General features: G+C 45.2%; 1 long non-coding RNA gene and 1 pseudogene across 9 annotated transcripts in view, besides 2 other annotated features; both read right to left on the reverse strand.

Annotated features, from left to right (window-relative positions):
• The window catches only part of LINC00680-GUSBP4 (LINC00680-GUSBP4 readthrough, transcribed pseudogene), a 41,566-nt pseudogene extending 24,040 nt beyond the window's left edge, over positions 1-17,526 (reverse strand). The window contains exons 1-5 of one of the 3 annotated variants that reach the window (NR_132997.1): positions 17,401-17,526; positions 17,232-17,304; positions 15,108-15,191; positions 5,984-6,091; positions 4,998-5,148 (exon numbers count right to left, since the gene is read on the reverse strand). The product of NR_132997.1 is annotated as an LINC00680-GUSBP4 readthrough, transcribed pseudogene, transcript variant 1 (transcript). The remainder of the gene's footprint in view (positions 1-4,997; positions 5,149-5,983; positions 6,092-15,107; positions 15,192-17,231; positions 17,305-17,400) is intronic. The other 2 variants (NR_003660.2, NR_132998.1) reach the window with 2 other exon arrangements.
• LINC00680 (long intergenic non-protein coding RNA 680) lies at positions 1,914-17,526 on the reverse strand. 6 transcript variants are annotated; one of them, NR_132995.1, is made up of 6 exons: positions 17,401-17,526; positions 17,232-17,304; positions 15,108-15,191; positions 5,939-6,091; positions 4,998-5,148; positions 1,914-3,257 (listed from the first exon to the last, which is right to left on the reverse strand). It is a non-coding gene; the product is annotated as a long intergenic non-protein coding RNA 680 (long non-coding RNA). The 6 variants fall into 6 exon arrangements; NR_125727.1 differs by having other exon boundaries at positions 4,953-5,148; NR_132994.1 differs by having other exon boundaries at positions 4,953-5,148; positions 5,438-6,091.
• Positions 17,428-17,527: an enhancer, noted in NCBI's record as "active region_24710". NCBI's record gives its function as "activates an Ori minimal core promoter by ATAC-STARR-seq in GM12878 lymphoblastoid cells {active_cell/tissue: GM12878}" and the evidence as "EXISTENCE:reporter gene assay evidence [ECO:0000049][PMID:35858748]".
• Positions 17,548-17,597: an enhancer, noted in NCBI's record as "active region_24711". NCBI's record gives its function as "activates an Ori minimal core promoter by ATAC-STARR-seq in GM12878 lymphoblastoid cells {active_cell/tissue: GM12878}" and the evidence as "EXISTENCE:reporter gene assay evidence [ECO:0000049][PMID:35858748]".

Genomic DNA, 17,625 nt, shown 5'->3' on the forward strand with positions numbered 1-17,625 from the left:
ATCTAAGATATAAAATTACAAGTTTGACCAAATGTGCCAGTTGTCCACTTATTGTCTCTCAGCTCTGAATTCAACCTTTCATGTCTGCTCTGCAGAAATGAACTTGGACCCTTTAAACATTTTTCCTTTGCTAGTTGGCATGATCTTAGATCGACATTGTAAGAGGAGATTTTCCTCTTCTTTCCAAGAGTCTTGTGTGCTCCTCTTGGCAGGCTTCTGTACTGCAACACAGCTTCTCCAGTGTCCAGATCCAGAACCCGTGCAGTTTGCTCCATTGTCAGGCTCCTGAAGTGCATAGCAGTCAGCAGCACCGAGTATCTTCCACCAGTACCTCCACAAGGCAGTATTACAGCAGAGTGATTCTGATGAGACAGATTTCTACCACAGCAACTTCTCTTCATTCAGTGAGCCACAGCCATGCCCCCTCAAACAGGGTCTGGATCTGAATCCCAGAGGCCCTGGATGTTGTATCTCAACCCCAGGGGTTGACGCTCCTTTTATCTGTTATTCTTATATTCCTTAGAGTTCTCTTTACTTTTTACTAGCCAATCCTCATTGCTCCAAACCCTGTTATAGCTAGCAATTCTTCGTATTAATCTTTCCTTGTTCAAATTACATGTGATTTCTCTATTCTAATCAAACACTGACTGATAGATCAAATTTCAGGCAATTAATCAAGCAGAAAATTATAGGGCATTATGCCTAATTTGTTATTTTATATATTAGCAAACACATAAGATCTGATAATCAGAAAGTTTAGAGCACTAAACCAAAGTCTCTAAAGAAACAATGGAAGGAATCAGTAACGGTCTTTGCTTTGACTTATTATTTTCTATTGGTTAGAATCTAACACAGCCATGTGAGGGTCCCTGGTATTATAACATACACAACACTGACAGCAATCCCCATGAGTCTTATCTGGTGTTGACACAAAGGAACAACGCCCCGTGGACTTGGAAAGGACCGCAGCGCAAGCATCAGGGTGTCCTTGTATGACTGAATGACGTTCTTCCAAGGCTTCTGCGACCTCTTTCTGCACTCTGTCCCCATGCTGCTGCAGCCTCACTGTCTTGCTGGCTGTCTCATTGCATTAGAGAAATACATCTTTGACATATGCTCCGTATGTGTTTCTATGAAAGTCATGTTTTTAACTTTTTAAAAATGATACTTGGACAGAAATTTGGCAAATATATATCAAGGTTCTCAAGTGAATATCTCTTCTCTGCAACAGGAATGTCGCTTCTAGAAATTTTCCCTCTGAATAGAATTAGATAGAAGTTGAGGCCAGGCGTGGTGGCTCATGCCTGTAATCCCAGCACTTTGGGAGGCCAAGGTGGGCGGATCATGAGGTCAGGAGATCGAGCCTATCCTGGCTAACATGGTGAAACCCCGTCTCTACTAAAAACACAAAAAAATTAGCCAGGTGTGGTGGCGGGCGCCTGTAATCCCAGCTACTCAGGAGGCTGAGGCAGGAGAATGGTGTGAACCTGGGAGGCGGAGCTTGCAGTGAGCCGAGATCATGCCACTGCACTCCAGCCTGGGCAACAGAGCAAGACTCTGTCTCAAAAAAAAAAAAAAAAAAGAAGTGAAGAGACATCAGCAAGGAAGTTCAGGTGGCTTTGTCTTACAATGATAGTTTAAAAAAAATGCCACTGGTTCTCAACCTAGGGTGATTTTGTCCTCCAGGGGACATTTGGCAATGTCTAGTGACAGTGTTGATTACCACAGCTAAGGGGAAGGGATGTTTCTGGCATCCAGTGGGCAGAGACCAGAATGTGAAGCCACATCCTGCAGTGTCCAGGGCAGTGTCTCTGAAAAGGATGGGCTAACCCAAACTGCCCATGGTACCGAGGCTGAGAAACCCTCACTTAATGTACCACCCTAGGGATTAGGAGGAATGAATTAAAGTGGAATGTTTCACAACCATTTTAATTATGATTAAAAAAAAAACTATGATATTGTCCATGTATATTTATGTTTAAGACTTATTGTTAGGTAAAAAAATTATAAAATTATATTTGTGGTGTTCATATGATCAGAAAAAATACATTAATTAAATATGTAAAGAATATTACATCTTTCATGTTTTCCATAGAATGAATACATTTTTGTATGTATGTGTATATACACAGAGAGGGAGAAAGACAAAGTAGCACATAAATAAAAATACATACATTTTATTACCTATTACAGTATTTACTCTTCTACACACTTCTCAGTTCATGTATATACGGGAGCTTTCTTACATCCTGCATGGATGCCTGAGGTTCCACCACTAAGGAGTCTTGTCCCTAAGTGAAGAAGTCATTAAAGCTGTTTATGTAAAGCCTGTGTCTTGGAGACAGGGTGTTATCTCTTTATCAGTCACATGCATTGGGTATGAAATGGCCGATTGGATTGGCTGGCGTGCCTGTCACTCCACACTGCCCTGGGACCAGACAGCTTTGGTGACCGAGCTGGAGAGGGGCTCCAGAGCTGGACTGACCCTGAGAAGGCTCCACCTCAGAGCAGCACAGGGAGGAGATGAGGCCCCACTGGTTTCCCTGGGGCCAGGCCTCATGTCAAATTGCAGAAACAGCCTGAGGACAGAGCCATGGAGAGCTGAGGAGAGGGCAGGCTTGTCCATTCCAACTTCCATCTCTGCCTCTGACCCACATCTGTGGAATCAGGGCGGTGAACCAGAAGCCTCTGGAGTTTCTCAGTGCTCTGATCCCGTGAATTCCTCCTCTGTCCCCGTGATTTCCCAATGAATGGATGCTTCCCATTCTCACCAAGTGCCTGTTGAAACTTTCCTCAGCCTGACAGCTTTCTTCTGTTACTTTCAAATGATGACAGGCTCCCAGGAGGAAAGTTTAGGTAAACCTCTCTTCAAGTGCTGCGTCCCAAAAGTCCCAAAGAACTGTCTACCTATGAGGCGCTCTCAGGACCTGGGACGTGTGATCACGGTATCCGGGGAGCAGCCAGCGCTGCGCCCTGGGGAGGAGGAGGCGCCGGGTTACTGGCTCCGGGCTGCATCCCCTCGTCTGGGTCTGTGCTGTTCCTGCACTTCATAACATAATTTTCCTCTTATTCCTTAAGGCTCAACAAGTCTTCTACTGCTCTCAGTCACTTTATCCTGGGAGTCAGATGTTTGCCTGGTTTTTTAGTGCATGTGAATACCTACCCAAAATTGCTCTGTGATTTTCAAAATGCTAAATTCCGTAGATTCTTTGAGACCAGTGACTTTCACTCTTTCAATCCATTTCCATTGGGTTGAACTGTGAAGTATGATGGGAAGAGAAAAGAACACCTTTGTAAACAGCCAAAAAAATAAATAAATAAAACAAGAAAAACCTCCACAATGTCTTGAACTTCACAGACTTGTGCAAGGTTGGAGCCAGTGTTCTTAACCCTGGCACTATTGACGTTTTAGGCTGGACAATTCTTTGTGGTCAGAGACTGTCCTCCCTGTGGAAGAGTATTTAGCAATGTCCCTAGGCTATACCTACCAGATGCCTGTAGCTCTGCCCTTAACCCCCACTACAGGGTGAAAAGTCAAAAATGTAAAAATGTCCTATCTAGGGCAACACAGAGATCCATGTGCCCCGTTGAGCCTTCACTGTGAAGGTGCAGGAGCCCAGAGCTCGTCTCTCTTCTGTGGAGATGGATGCCTCCTCTTGGTGGCCTGCAAGAATGTGGTTGATCCCAGACCATACGTCTGAAGAGTCATCAGTCCCATTGAGCAGCAGACCATAGCTGGGATGGTTTATAAAAACTGGTCCAGTACATACATGCAAGTGTTACAATTCATCATGTTTGTGGTAGAAATTGTGATAATTAGGAATGATAATATGTTCTTCTTTGTATTCATTCATGCAACCTAAATTGTCTATGTTTATTCGTTTAAAATTTTTTAAAAGCTCAAGAAATGGAAGAAATGAGAGAGATGTTTCATGTACTCTTAGGTGATGTGGCCAACACACCCTAAGGTCACCCCTCCCCGGTGATCTATGTTTTGGATAATCCACTCCCCTGAGCATAAAGGGGCTTGTGACATAATTCTAGATAATAGAATACAGCAAATGTGATGGTTACATCTGATGTGAGATTCTGCCTTAGCAAGTGGGGGCAAGAGAGACTCCCTCTTGCTGACTTGTGTAAGAAGGGCTGCCGTCCTATAGGAAGGACTGTGAGAGGCCATGTGGCAGGAACCATGGCAGCCCCTGGATGCTGAGAGTGGTCCCCAGCTGATAGGTTTGGCTGTGTCTCCACCCAAATCTCATCTTGAATTGTAGCTCCCATATTTCCCACATGTTGTGGGAGGGAACTGGTGGAAGATAATTGATTCATGGGGGCAGTTTCCCCCATACTGTTCTCATGGTAGTGAATAAGTCTCATGAGATCTGATGGTTTTATAAGGGGAAACCCCTTTTGCTTGGCTCTCATTCTCTCTTGCCTGCTGCCATGTAAGGTGGGCCTTTTGCCTTCCACCATGATGGTGAGGCCTCCCCAGCCACATGGAACTGTGAGTCCATTAAACCTCTTTTTTTTTTTTAATAAAGTACCCGGTCTCGGGTATGTCTTGATCACTAGTGTGAAAATAGACTAATACACCAGCTGACTACCCCCCAAAAACAGGAACTTCAGTCCTACAACCACCAACAACCTGAGAGAGCCTCTGACAGGACCACAGCCCTGACTGAGCCCTGATTGTAGCCTGCTGAGACTCAGAGTGGAGGCCACAGCTGGTCTATGCCTGAACTTCTGACCTACTGAGAGCGGAGGTAACTGGTGTGTGATGTTTTGAGTCACTAGGCTGTGGTCATTTGTTATGCAGCCGCAGGTAACAAACACAGACAGCTTCCCTCTCCTTTGAAAACACATCAGCCAAATGCCTTTCATTCTTGCAGCCACCTCTAGGCTAAGAGAATGTGAACCCTTGAGTATTCAGTATCTGCCAGATCAGAACTTACAGGATATTGAGGGGGACATGCAGCCTGGAAGAGCCGGAAGCTGACCTGCCTTGCCGCTCTGCTTGCCGCTCTGCCGCTCTGCCTTGATGGACTCCTATGGACACAAGCAATGCCACACAGCACCAACACTGGACAGGGACACACTGTGATGGTGGGGGCGGGGGCAAGGCAAATCAATACCCCTCTGTAATCTGGTCTGGTCACAAACAAAAACAAGAACATGGTCAATACCACAAATACGCCTAGGCATCCTCCACCCCGGCTTATGTGAGCAGCTGCTGCTTTTACATCAATTGTAGCACCAGCCTCATTCCATTTCTCCCACCTTCCAGGACAATTAAGACATTCAACCACAGAATTACTCCCATTTCCAGACAGCACTCCATCTGAGCATGGCCTGTGTATTAGTCAGGGTTCTCTAAACGGATAGAACTAATAGGATAGATGTATATATGAAGGTGAGTTTATCAGGAGAATTGGCTCACATGATCACAAGGGGAAGTCTCACAATAGGCCGACTGCAAGCTGAGGAGCCAAGAAGCCAGTCTGAGTCCCAAACTTCAAAGGTAGGGAGGCTCACAGTGCAGCCTTCAGTCTGCGGCTAGAGGCCTGGGAGCCCCTGGCAAACCAATGCTGTAAGTCCAAGAGTCCAAAAAAAAAAAAAAAAGCTGAAGAACTTGGAGTCTGATGTTCGAGGGCAGGAAGCATCCAGCATGGGAGAAAGATGAAGGCTGGAACACTCAGCAAGTCTGCTCATTCCAACTTCTGCCTGCTTTATTTTAGCTGCTGTGGCAGCTGATTAGATGATGCCCACCCAGATTGAGGGTGGGTGTGCCTCTCCCAGTCCACTGACTAAAATGTTAATCTCCTTTGGCCACACTCTCACATATACACCCAGGAACAATCCTTTGCATCCTTCAATCCAATCAAGTTGACACTCAATATTAACCATCACAGCCTGTTTCCTTGACCCTCCCCAAGATCACCTTGTATAAGCCAAACCCTCCAAGTCTTTCCCAAGGCCCTCTCACTGCTGCTGCTGAGCTGCTGCTGGGTCCCAGTGGTGCACAGCCTTCCTTGTTGTGATGAGCCAGTCGATGGCCTCAACTTTGCTGGGCTACAGGTGTGTTCCTGGTGGCCTTTAGATGACATCATTGACAAGATTATGACCAAGATAATTTTGATGCATCCTAGTTTCAGCTTAAAATTTGGGAAAACATTCATTTAAAAATAACCCATACCAAGGTTTTCACAAAATACAATCAAAATCAGGGCATATTAGTAGGTAGCTCATATGTGTACCTGCTCGGTATGTGCTGTTGTCATTGATGTCTGGAATGAAGTAATGAATTAGAAAGTCTTCAAACACCAAAGAATGATTTAATGAACTATATTTACATAGTGTATATAACACATATAACATAATTACTTTTTCCTAAAGATAAGAAATTATAATTGTGCATTTTAGAAAGATTTGGTCAAAAGAGGAGGAGGTATGAGGATTTTATCATGATTCTCAATTTCACAAGCATTTCTGTAAATTAGGAGCCTACTGTACTAACTAGAAATGGTGAATGGGTTTTCAACTTCAATTCCATCCATCACGTCCCATCTAAATGCTCTGAGGTGGTAACAACAAACTGTGTCCTAGATCTTCTTCAAGCTGAAGTGCTTTGGGATGACCGCATATTCCAACAATACCCCCTGGAGGCCAGTTGGCCAGGGCCAGGGGACACTTGTCCTCACAGAAGCAGGTCTGTGCCACTTCTCAGCTGTCAGGATTTGGATTTCCACCCTGATCCAGCTGCTAAACTGTCCCTACCACGTGTCCCTCACCCACCACCAGCCAGTGACTCCTAGCTCATGCAATTTCCGGTGCTCACCTCTTGCTGTCCCCCACCTGGCCCTATCATAAGTTTGTGTCCATGTTGCATTCAGTGTATGAGACACTGAGAGTGGTCCCCAGCCGACAGCCACCCATGATTCATTGACAGAAGAGAAAGGGGACACAGGGAAGAAATCTGTTACACCAGCGAGACAGAAGCCGCCCCTTTACAAAGGTGCATGGTGGGAAAGACAGAGACATCCCAGCTGTACTGCAAAAAGACCACATTTTGAAAGATGGTTTCAAGGCCAGGCATGGTGGCTTATGCCTGTAATTCCAGCACTTTGGGAGGCCGAGGCAGGTGGATCACGAGGTCAGGAGTTCGAGGCCAGCCTGGGCAACATGGTGAAACCCCGTCTCTACTAAAAATGCACAAATTAGCCGGGCGTGGTGGCGGGTGCCTGTAGTCCCAGCTTACTCTGGAGGCTGAGGCAGGAGAATGGCATGAACCCGGGAGGCAGAGCTTGCAGTGAGTGGAGATGGCGCCACTGCACTCCAGCCTGGGCAACAGAGCAAGACTCCGTCTCAAAAAAAAAAAAAAAAAAAAAGAATGGGCCTGAAGCCAGGCGTGATGGTTCACACCTGTAATCCTTGCACTTTGAGAGGCCAAGGCATGTGGCTTGCATGAGCTCAGGAGTTTGAGACCAGCCTGGGCAATATGGTGAAACCCCGTCTCTACTAAAATACAAAAAATTAGCCAGGCATGGCGGTGTGCACCTGTAGTCCCAGCTACTCGGGACACTGAGGCAGGAGAATCGCTGGAACCCAGAAGGCGGAGGTTGCAGTAAACTGAGATAGTACCACCACACTACAGCCTGGGCCACAGAGTGAGACTCCATCTCCATGAAAAGAAAAAAAAAAAAAAAAAGAATGGGCCTGCTTAGCTCCTAGTTCACCCTGTTTTTTCAGCCAATCCCTCCAGACCTCAGGGGGTGGCAGCAGCATTTGTACTCTAGGCTCATCTTCTCCCTCAGGTCTTACAGTCAATTATATTACTAATCAGGAAAAGATATTGAGGCTGCCTACTCAGCTGCCATTTCCCTCTTTTTTACTATTATTTTTTTTAATAGAGACGGGGTCTCACTATGTTGCCCAGGCTGGTCTTGAACTCCTGGGCTCAAGCAATCCTCCTGCCTCAAGATTTACAAATGTGAGCCACCACACCATGCCAGTCCTCCCTCTTTTTCCCTTAGTTTTTGTTTTTGTTTTGAGACGGAGTCTCACTCTGTCGCCAGGTGTCAGTGCAGTGGCACAATCTCAGCTCACTGCAACCTCCACCTCCTAGGTTCAAGCAATTCTCCTGCCTAAGCCTCCCGAGCAGCTGGGATTATAGACGCCAGTCACCATGCCCACCTAATTTTTGTATTTTTAGTAGAGATGGGGTTTCACCATGTTGGCCAGGCTGGTCTCCAACTCCTGGCCTCAAGCAATCCACCTGCCTCAGCCTCACAAAGTGTACTAGGATTACAGACATGAGCCACTGTCCCCAGCCTAGTATAACACTTCTAAAAAAAAAAAAAAAAAAAGTCTGTATTTCAGCTGGGCGCGGTGGCTCACGCCTGTAATCCCAACACTTTGGGAGGCTGCGGCAGGCAGATCACGAGGTCAGGAGTTCGAGACCAGCCTGGCCAGCATGGTGAAACCCCGTCTCTACTAGAAATACAAAAAATTAGCCAGGCATGGTGGTGCACGCCTGTAATCCCAGCTACTCAGGGGGCTGAGGAAGAATTCCTCAAACCTGGGAGGCGGAGGTTGCAATAAGCTGAGATCGTCCCACTGCACTCTAGCCTGGGCGACAGAGAGAGACTCTGTCTCAAGAAAAAGAAAAAAAATCTGTATTTCATATGTCCTACACACACTTACAGCTTTCAAGAACATAAAAAACATTTAAAAAAAATTTGTACCATTATCATTTCCAGACCCTTCACAGCACATATTTTATCGGGGTTTTATAGTAATTCATCCTTTCCACTAGTGCACTTAGCAACCAAGACAGCTCATACCCCCACATACAGACAAACTTGCTATTAAAAGGGTCAAAGTCTTAGTTTCCTCAAGTGTACTATGAATACCCAGGGAAAGACTCCAATACCAAGCATGAGATAAATAATGCCCATATGAGAATTTTCAACTTTTAAAGAAAAGTAAGTCAAACTGTCTCATGGTAGGAAACTAGGGTTCCCGCAACCCCTCTCTTCAATTTCATAATTTGCTAGGACAGCTCACAGGGAATCACTTTTAATTCGACGGTCTAAATGTAATCTAATTGCCAAGTCTGGAAGAACACTAAAAAAAAAAAAAAAAAAATCTCTTATGAGTAACTTCCCATATAATGATGAATACTACTTCCATAAATTATCCCAATGGTATTTTCTATTTACGTGCTAAAGCTAAGTAGATTTTTCAAAGAGATAATCAATTTAGATTCATGTGTTTAGATCAGAGGTAGAAACTGCAGTCCAAAGATGTAATAGTAAATCAAGAAAGTTCAATAATTTGTCCACAAAAATCAAAGGAGATCATAGTCTTGAGACAATTTTTCAAAAATTTAAAAATTTAATAACTCCCCAAGTTCCTCTTAGGTAAAATGTATACATGCTTTACTAAGAAAAATTACAAGAATTTAAAATAATATTTATAAAGTACTTTGCTGTTTATAAGCTACTACACCCAACATCTTAATCTCTTCAAGAAACGTCCAAGGTAGATGATACACACACAACAGGGTTATGAAGGATCAGAAATTGGAAAACCCATCCAATGTTACTCATCTAGTAGACTGTGGGGCTGGGCCTTAAACCTAGGTCCCCCAATTCCAAATCCCAAGCTCTTTCCAACAGATTGTGCCCATTTTTTTTTTTTTTAGACAGAGTTTTGCTCTCGTCGCCCAGGCTGGAGTGCAATGGCACAATCTAGGCTCACTGCAACCTCCGCCTCCCAGGTTCAAGCGATTCTCCTGCCTCAGCCTCCCGAGTAACTGGGACTACAGGTGCCCGCCACCCACACCCGGTTAATTTTTGTATCTTTAGTAGAGACAGGGTTTCATCACGTTGGCCAGGCTGATCTCAAACTCCTGATCTCAGGTGACCCACCCACCTCAGGCTCCCAAAGTGCTGGGATTACAGGCGTGAGCCACCGTGCCCAGCCCAGATTGTGCCATTTTAAAACATTCTCCAAAGCAGCAAGATTTCATTTTTTAACAAGACAGTATTACAGGTCTAAATTCAATTTAATATTCTCAAAATATTACTGAGAACCTATTTTACAAAGCAAAGTACCAGGGGCTATAAAACTTACATACCCACAAATATATACATCTACTATGTACCCACAAAAATTGAAAATAAAAAAATTAAAAATAAAAAGCTTCACTTTGGGAGGTTGAGGCAGGCGGATCACTTGACTTCAAGAGTTTGAGATCAGCCTGGCCAACATGGTGAAACCCTGTCTCTACTAAAAATACAAAAGTTAGTCAGGTGGTGGTGGCACGTGCCTATAATCCCAGCTACTGGGGAGGCTGAGGCAGGAAAATTGCTTGAACCAGGAGGCAGAGGTTGCAGTGAGCCTAGATTACACTATTGCCCTCCAGTCTGGGCAACTCAAAAAAATAAATAAGTAAATAACAACAAAAAGCCGACATAGCCAAATAAGACAATCCTTGTTCAAAACATGTTGTATTATATGCTTAAAATGGCAAATACAAGGTACCTATACTGTGATAGTACAAACATTCACTAAATTGTTTAAAACATTTGTAAATGCCTCAGATAGCATGTCTTTGTCTATCGTTTGAGGATATTAAAATTGTTTTTTGATGTGATGATATTGTGGCATAATATGAAATATATTTGGCCAGGTGCGGTGGCTCACTCCTGTAATCCCAGCACTTTGGGAGGCTGAGGGGGGCGGATCATGAGGGCAGGAGATCGAGACCATCCTGGCTAACAGGGTGAAACCCTGTCTCTACTAAAAATACAAAAAAAAAAAAAAAAAATTAGCCAGGCATGGTGCCCGGTGCCTATAGTCCCAGCTACTCAGGAGGCTGAGACAGGAGAATGGCGTGCACCCGGGAGGCGGAGCTTGCAGTGAGTCGAGATCACACCACTGCACTCCAGTCTGGGCGACAGAGCGAGACTCTGTCTCAAAAATATATATATATATTTGGTCTTTGTTTCAGGTTCCTGCCACACAGCTTCTGAAACCCTTGGAATTTCCTGAGTGATAGGAGCTGTCTTTTGTTATTCATTAGAAGCCCCTTTGGATCCCACCTAAATTTATGCTATTGAAGTGACTTAGTGTGGGATCCCTAGGCCTCAGGATGGGACTGCTGCTCACTAAAAAAACTGACGGGTTAGATAATTGGAACTTTCATCCCCACCCACCAATCTCTGGGGAAGCTGGAAATTAAGATCTATAGAAATTTTTTTTTTTTTTTTTTTTTTGAGACAGGCTCTTGCTTTTTTACTCAGGCTGTGATGCAGTGGCATGATCATAGCTCACTGCAGCCTCAACCTCTGGGCTCAAGTGACCCTCTCACCTCAGCCTCCCAAGTAGTTGGGACTACAGGTGTGCGCCGCCATGCCCAGCTAATTTTTATAAGATTTTTTGAACGGGATCTCACTGTGTTAGCCCAGGTTTGTCTCAAACTCCTGGGATCAAGTGATCCTCCTACCTTGGTCCCCCAAAGTGCTGGGATTATAGGTGTGAGCCACTGCACCCAGCCTAGACACTCCTGAACCACTAGATGTGATTAGCTTCAGGGTAGTTGAACACAGGGGGATGCTGGGGAGTTGGTGCACCCAGAGAGGGCACAGAAGCTCTGCACCTCTCCCACCGCATACCTTGCCCAATGCATTACTTCATCTGGCTGTTCATCTGTATCATTTATAATATTCTTTATAATAAACTGTTAAACATAAGTAAAGTGTTTCCCTGTGAGCCGTCCTAGCTAATTATCAAAGCAAAAAGAGTGGTCATGGGAACCCTGACTTATAGCCAGTAGATTAGAAGCACTGGTCACAACCTGTGAATTGAGATTAGTGTCTGAGTGAAGGCAGTCTTGTGGTAGTCTCCAGGCAGACGGTGTCAGAATTAAAGTGAGTTACCGGATACCCAGTTGGAGAACTGGTTGATGTGTGGGGGAAAACTCCTACATATCTGGTGTCAGAAATAAAGTACTGGTTCACACCTGTAATCCTAGCACTTTGGGAGGCCAAGACAGGTGGATCACTTGAGCCCAGGAATTCAAGACTGGCCTGGACAACATGGTGAATTTTTTTTTTTTTTTTTGAGACAAGAGTCTCACTCTGTCGCCCAGGCTAGAGTGCAGTGGCAAGATCTCGGCTCACTGCAAGCTCTGCCTCTGGGGTTCACGCCATTCTCCCGCCTCAGCCTCCCAAGTAGCTGGAACTATAGGCACCCGCCACCACACCCAGCTAATTTTTTGTATTTTTAGTAGAGACGGGGTTTCACCATGTTAGCCAGGATGGTCTCAATCTCCTGACCTCGTGATCCGCCCCTCCCAAAGTGCTGGGATTACAGGCATGAGCCACCTCACCCAGCCAACATGGTGAAATCTATCTCAACTAAAAATACAAAAAATTAGTGGGGTGTGGTAGCACCAACCTATAGTCCCAACTATTTGGGAGGCTGAGGTGGGAGGATTACCTGAGCCCGGGAAGTGGAGTCTGTAGTGAGGCAAGGTCATGCCACTGCGCACCTGTCTAAGCAACAGCAGTGAGACCCTGTCTCAAATTTAAAAAAAAAAAAAAAAAAAAAAGGAGGGGAAAGTACTGAGAGGAGTGTGAGAGGATAGGAAACAACTTGGTTTTTCCTATCTCTTACACATATCTTGGCTAAGCTTTTTTTAAAACAATCCTTATCGTTTTAAGGTATATACAAAAATATTTATGAGTAAAATGATGTCCAAGATTTGCTTCGAAATCATCTGAAAGGGGAAACAGAAGTAACGCTAGCCATGAACTGTTACAGTAGTTAAATCTGATTGATAGGTACATGGTAGTTCGTGACTATACTTCCGTGTTTGAAATTTCACATAATAATGAAGGGTTTTGCTGGGTGCAGTGGCTCACACCTGTAATCCCAGCATTTTGGGAGGCCAAGGTGAGTGGATCACGAGGTCAGGAGATCGAGACCATCCTGGCTAACATGGTGAAACACCATCTCTACTAAAAATACAAAAACAAAATTAGCCAGGCGTGTTGGCAGGCACCTGTAGTCCCAGCTACTCCAGAGGCTGAGGCGGGAGAATGGCGTGAACCCGGGAGGCGGAGCTTGCAGTGAGCCAAGATCACACCACTGCACTCCAGCCAGGGCGACAGAGTGAGACGCCATCTCAAAAAAATAACAATAATAACAATAATAATAATGATGGGTTTTGGCCTGGCATGGTTGTTCACACCTGTAATCCCAGCACTTTGGGAGGCCGAGGCAGGCGGATCACCTGAGGTCACACGTTCGAGACCAGCCTGGCCAACATGGCGAAACCCTGTCTCCACTAAAAATACAAAAAATTTAGCCAGGCATGGTGGTGGTCACCTGTAATCCCAGCTACTCAGGAGGCTGAGGCAAGAGAATCACTTGAACCCAAGAGGTGGAGGTCACAGTGAGCTGAGATCGCACCATTGCACTCCAGCCTGGGCGACAGAGCAGGCCTCCGTCTCAAATAAAACAAATAATGAAGGGTTTTTTCAAAAAATAGTACATGTAGATGGCTTTCTTTTCTCCACAAAAAAGTTTTCTTCCAAAGACTGAAAATATTTTTTGTCAGGCACACTGCCAAATACTGGATATTGCTGCTGTACAACATTTTATTTTTTATTTTAGTTATTTTGTTTTATACTTTATATTTTATTTTATCTTATTTTATTTTAAGATGGAGTTTTGCTCTTGTCGCCCATTTCATTTTATTTTATTTTATTTATTTTGAGATGGAGTTTTGCTCTTGTCACCCAGGCTGGAGTGTAATGGTGCGATCTCAGCTCACCACAACCTCTGCCTCCCAGGTTCAAGCGATTCTCCTGCCTCAGCCTCCCTAGTAGCTGGGATTACAGGTGCCCACCATCACACCCGGATAGTTTTTCTATTTTCAGTCAAGACGGGGTTTCACCATGTTGGCCAGGCTGGTCTCGAACTCCTGACCTTAGGTGATTCACCCACCTCAGCCTCCCAAAATGCTGGGATTACAGGCATGAGCCACTACAACTGGCCCATTGTTGGTTTTAAAATGATAAATTGGGCTGGGTGCGGTGGCTCACACCTGTAATCCCAGCACTTTAGGAGGCAGGCAGATCACAAGATCAAGAGATCAAGACCATCTTGGCCAACATGGTGAAACCCCATCTCTACTAACAATACAAAAATTAGCTGGGCGTGGTGGCGTACACCTGTCGTCCCAGCTACTTGGAGGGCTGAGGCAGGAAAATTGCTTGAACCGGGGAGGTAGAAGTTGCAGTGAGCTAAGATCGCACCCCTGCACTCCAGCCCAGCAATAAAGCGAGACTCCATCTCAAAAAAAAAAAAAACCAAAAACCAAAAAGCCGGACACGGTGGTTCACGTCTGTAATCCCAGCACTTTGGGAGGCCAAGGTAGGCGGATCACAAGGTCAGGAGTTCAAAACCAGCCTGGCCAACACAGTGAAACCCCATCTCTACTAAAAATACAAAAAATTAGCCGGGCGTGGTGGCATGTGCCTGTAGTCCCAGCTATTCGGGAGGCAGAGGCAGGAGAATCGCTTGAACTGGGGAGGTGGAGGCTGCAGTGAGCCGAGATCATGCCATTGCACTCCAGCCTGGGCAACAGGGCGAGACTCCATCTCAAAAAAAAAAAAAACCCAACAGTGACAAGTAGCATAACAACATTCTTTTTTTTCTTTGTTCTCTGAGATGGAATTTCACCCTTGTCCCCCAGGCTGGAGTGCAATGGGGGGATATCAGCTCACTGCAACCTCCGCCTCCCAACTTCAACTGAAGCTACTGCCTCAGCCGCACGACTAGCTGGGATTACAGGCCCCTGCACCATGCCCAGCTAATTATTGTATTTTTAGTTGAGATGGGGTTTCACCATGTTGGTCAGGCTGGTCTCAAACTTCTGACCTCAGGTGATCTGCCTGCCTTGGCCTCCCTAAGTGCTGGGATTACAGGCGTGAGCCACGGCGCCCAGCCAACATTCTTTTCTCTTTTTTAATATACTTGCATGAGGTATAAATAGTACTTAAACCAATAAAACGACAAATATCTGAACTTCTTACCCAGTGTTTTGTGACTTCTTTCCACAGCTGTTCTTTGAGTTTGTTCAAACATTGCTTCCAAGTCAAATGTGTGAGCTTTTTTACCTAAAACATGAACAAATGGGAGACTGTGATTGTCTTGCAGTAAGTTGGCCAAACTTTAGGTGATCAATACTGATCAATAAACACTTACTTTGTCTAGTTTATAGCATGGCTCCAATATAACCATAAAATATCACAGAAGGAGTTTGAGTCACAGAAAACTTCTGATGACAATCCCTTCACTAAGTACTATTAACCAGGCAACTTTCCCATCCTCCTCTAGATCCCTACCCTACGAAACAACAACACTAATGTGGGAGGCAGAATGGAGAATGTCCCAAAAGTTACCCTTTGCAAATGTAATTAAGGTTATGGACTTTTAAATAGGGAAACTATCCTAGTTGGCCCTTAAAGGCAAAGATGCACAACAGCTATGGCAGAAGAAGTCAGAGAGATCCAATGTTTGAGAAGAATTTGAGGCATTATAGTTGGCTTGAAGACGAAAGGGGCAACATGAGAAGTAATGCAGGTACTTTAAGGAGCTAAGAGGGAAACAGAAATCTCAGCCCTATAACAAGGAACTGTATGAGCATGGAAACATTCTCCTCCTCCCCCAGTAACTTTATCAAAACTCTTAAAAATTTCCCCTCTTTGGCACAAACATATGGACACCTTTCTCACTCCAGAGTAAAGGAATGATGTACTAAAATGAAGGATTTATACCGGGTGGGGTGGCTCATGCCTGTAATCACTTTGAGAGGCTCAGGTGGGCGGATTGCTTGAGCTCAGGAGATCGATCAGCCTGGGCAACATGGTGAAACCTCGTCTCTACCAAAAGTATAAAAAATTAGCCAGGTGTGGTGGCACATATCTGTGGTCCCAGCTACTCAGGAGACTAAGGTGGGAGGATGGCTTAAGTCTGGGAGGAGGAGGCTGCAGTGAGCCAAGATCGCACTAGTACACTCCAGCCTGGGTGACAGAGGGAGACTCCATCTCAAAAAATAAAAAAATAGAAAAGGCTGGGCGCGGTGGCTCACGCCTGTAATCCCAGCACTTTCGGAGGCCGAGACGGGCGGATCACGAGGTCAGGAGATCGAGATCATCCTGGCTAACACGGTGAAACCCCGTCTCTACTAAAAATACAAAAAAAATTAGCCAGGCGAGGTGGCGGGCGCCTGTAGTCCCAGCTACTCGGGAGGCTGAGGCGGGAAAATGGCGTGAACCCGGGAGGCAGAGCTCGCAGTGAGCCGAGATCTTGCCACTGCACTCCAGCCTGGGCGACTGAGCGAGACTCCGTCTCCAAAAAAAAAAGAATGAATAGAAAAACTACAGAACCAGTATGTGTGAACACAACCCAAGGCCAATATGTGTAAGTCTACTGTTTAATTACTATCATAGAATTAATACACGCTGGTCAAAAGAGAACAAGAAGACCTTGAGAAAAGGTTCAGGGAAGTTAGAATCCCAATGTTTGGATGAACAGCATTTATAATTTTAAAATGCAAAATAAAGAGAAATCATTTCTCATGTATCAGTCTACTAAAGTTTTGTTTTCATTTTTTAAATAATTTTCTTTTTAAATAATAATACCTACTCTGTGTTGGTACGGATATGGTCAAAATGGCATTCTTAAATTCTGTTAACTTTGGTATAACCTGAAACAAGTTTTTTGATGGGTATTACGGCAGTAAGCATCAAGAAGCTTTAAAAGGCACATACCCAATTTTTCAGCTTTTTAAGTATTTATACTTCTGAATAAACTAGGCTCTCTTTTAGAAATCTACCCTACAGAATTACATATTTTTAAAAATCCTCGTACAAATGCTGTTATTTACAAAAATGTTCATTTTAGCATTATTGGTGACTTAAAATTAGAAAAATCCTTTCTCTTCCTCTCTCTCCAGGACTCTCATAACTGTCACCTGAGTTGGTTCCAACGGATACGCAGAATAGAAGACAAATGGGAGAAGAATATTGACAAACTGCAAGGTATGCACCCGAGCTACAGTAATTCCGAGTTGACAGCTCGATCTCCCCTCCCACTCTGCGGCTCTTCAAACCTCTGCAAAAGGAAGAGGGTCTCTGCCTGGGGCAGTCACTCACCGAACCCCGAACCCCGTGAAGCCCATGGTGACCACAAGCTGCGGGTCCGGTCCCGATGCGTCTGAGCCTGTCACTGGAGCAAGAGGAAAAGAGAGGCGGCCTAGTTAGTGCGGCGCCCCAGCTCCCCCGACACGGCCCACCCCGCCCGGACTCGCTTCATGAAACCCACCTTCGCTGGGCCCAGAGCGCTCCATGGCTGGCCGCACACCGCAGAACCAGCCACAGCGACAGCCCAAACAACTGCAGGGGAACTTGCCAATAACTCGCGGCAAATGCTGGAGGAAGTACCGCCTCCAAGCTACAGCGGCGCCGCCGAAGCCAAGAGCGGCGCCTTCCGCAGAGGGACTGCGGCTTCCTGCGCAGCGCCCCCTACCGGACAGGCGGCGGGAAAACG

Source organism: Homo sapiens, chromosome 6 (assembly GCF_000001405.40).
Source record: "Homo sapiens chromosome 6, GRCh38.p14 Primary Assembly".
NCBI classification, from domain to species: domain Eukaryota; kingdom Metazoa; phylum Chordata; class Mammalia; order Primates; family Hominidae; genus Homo; species Homo sapiens.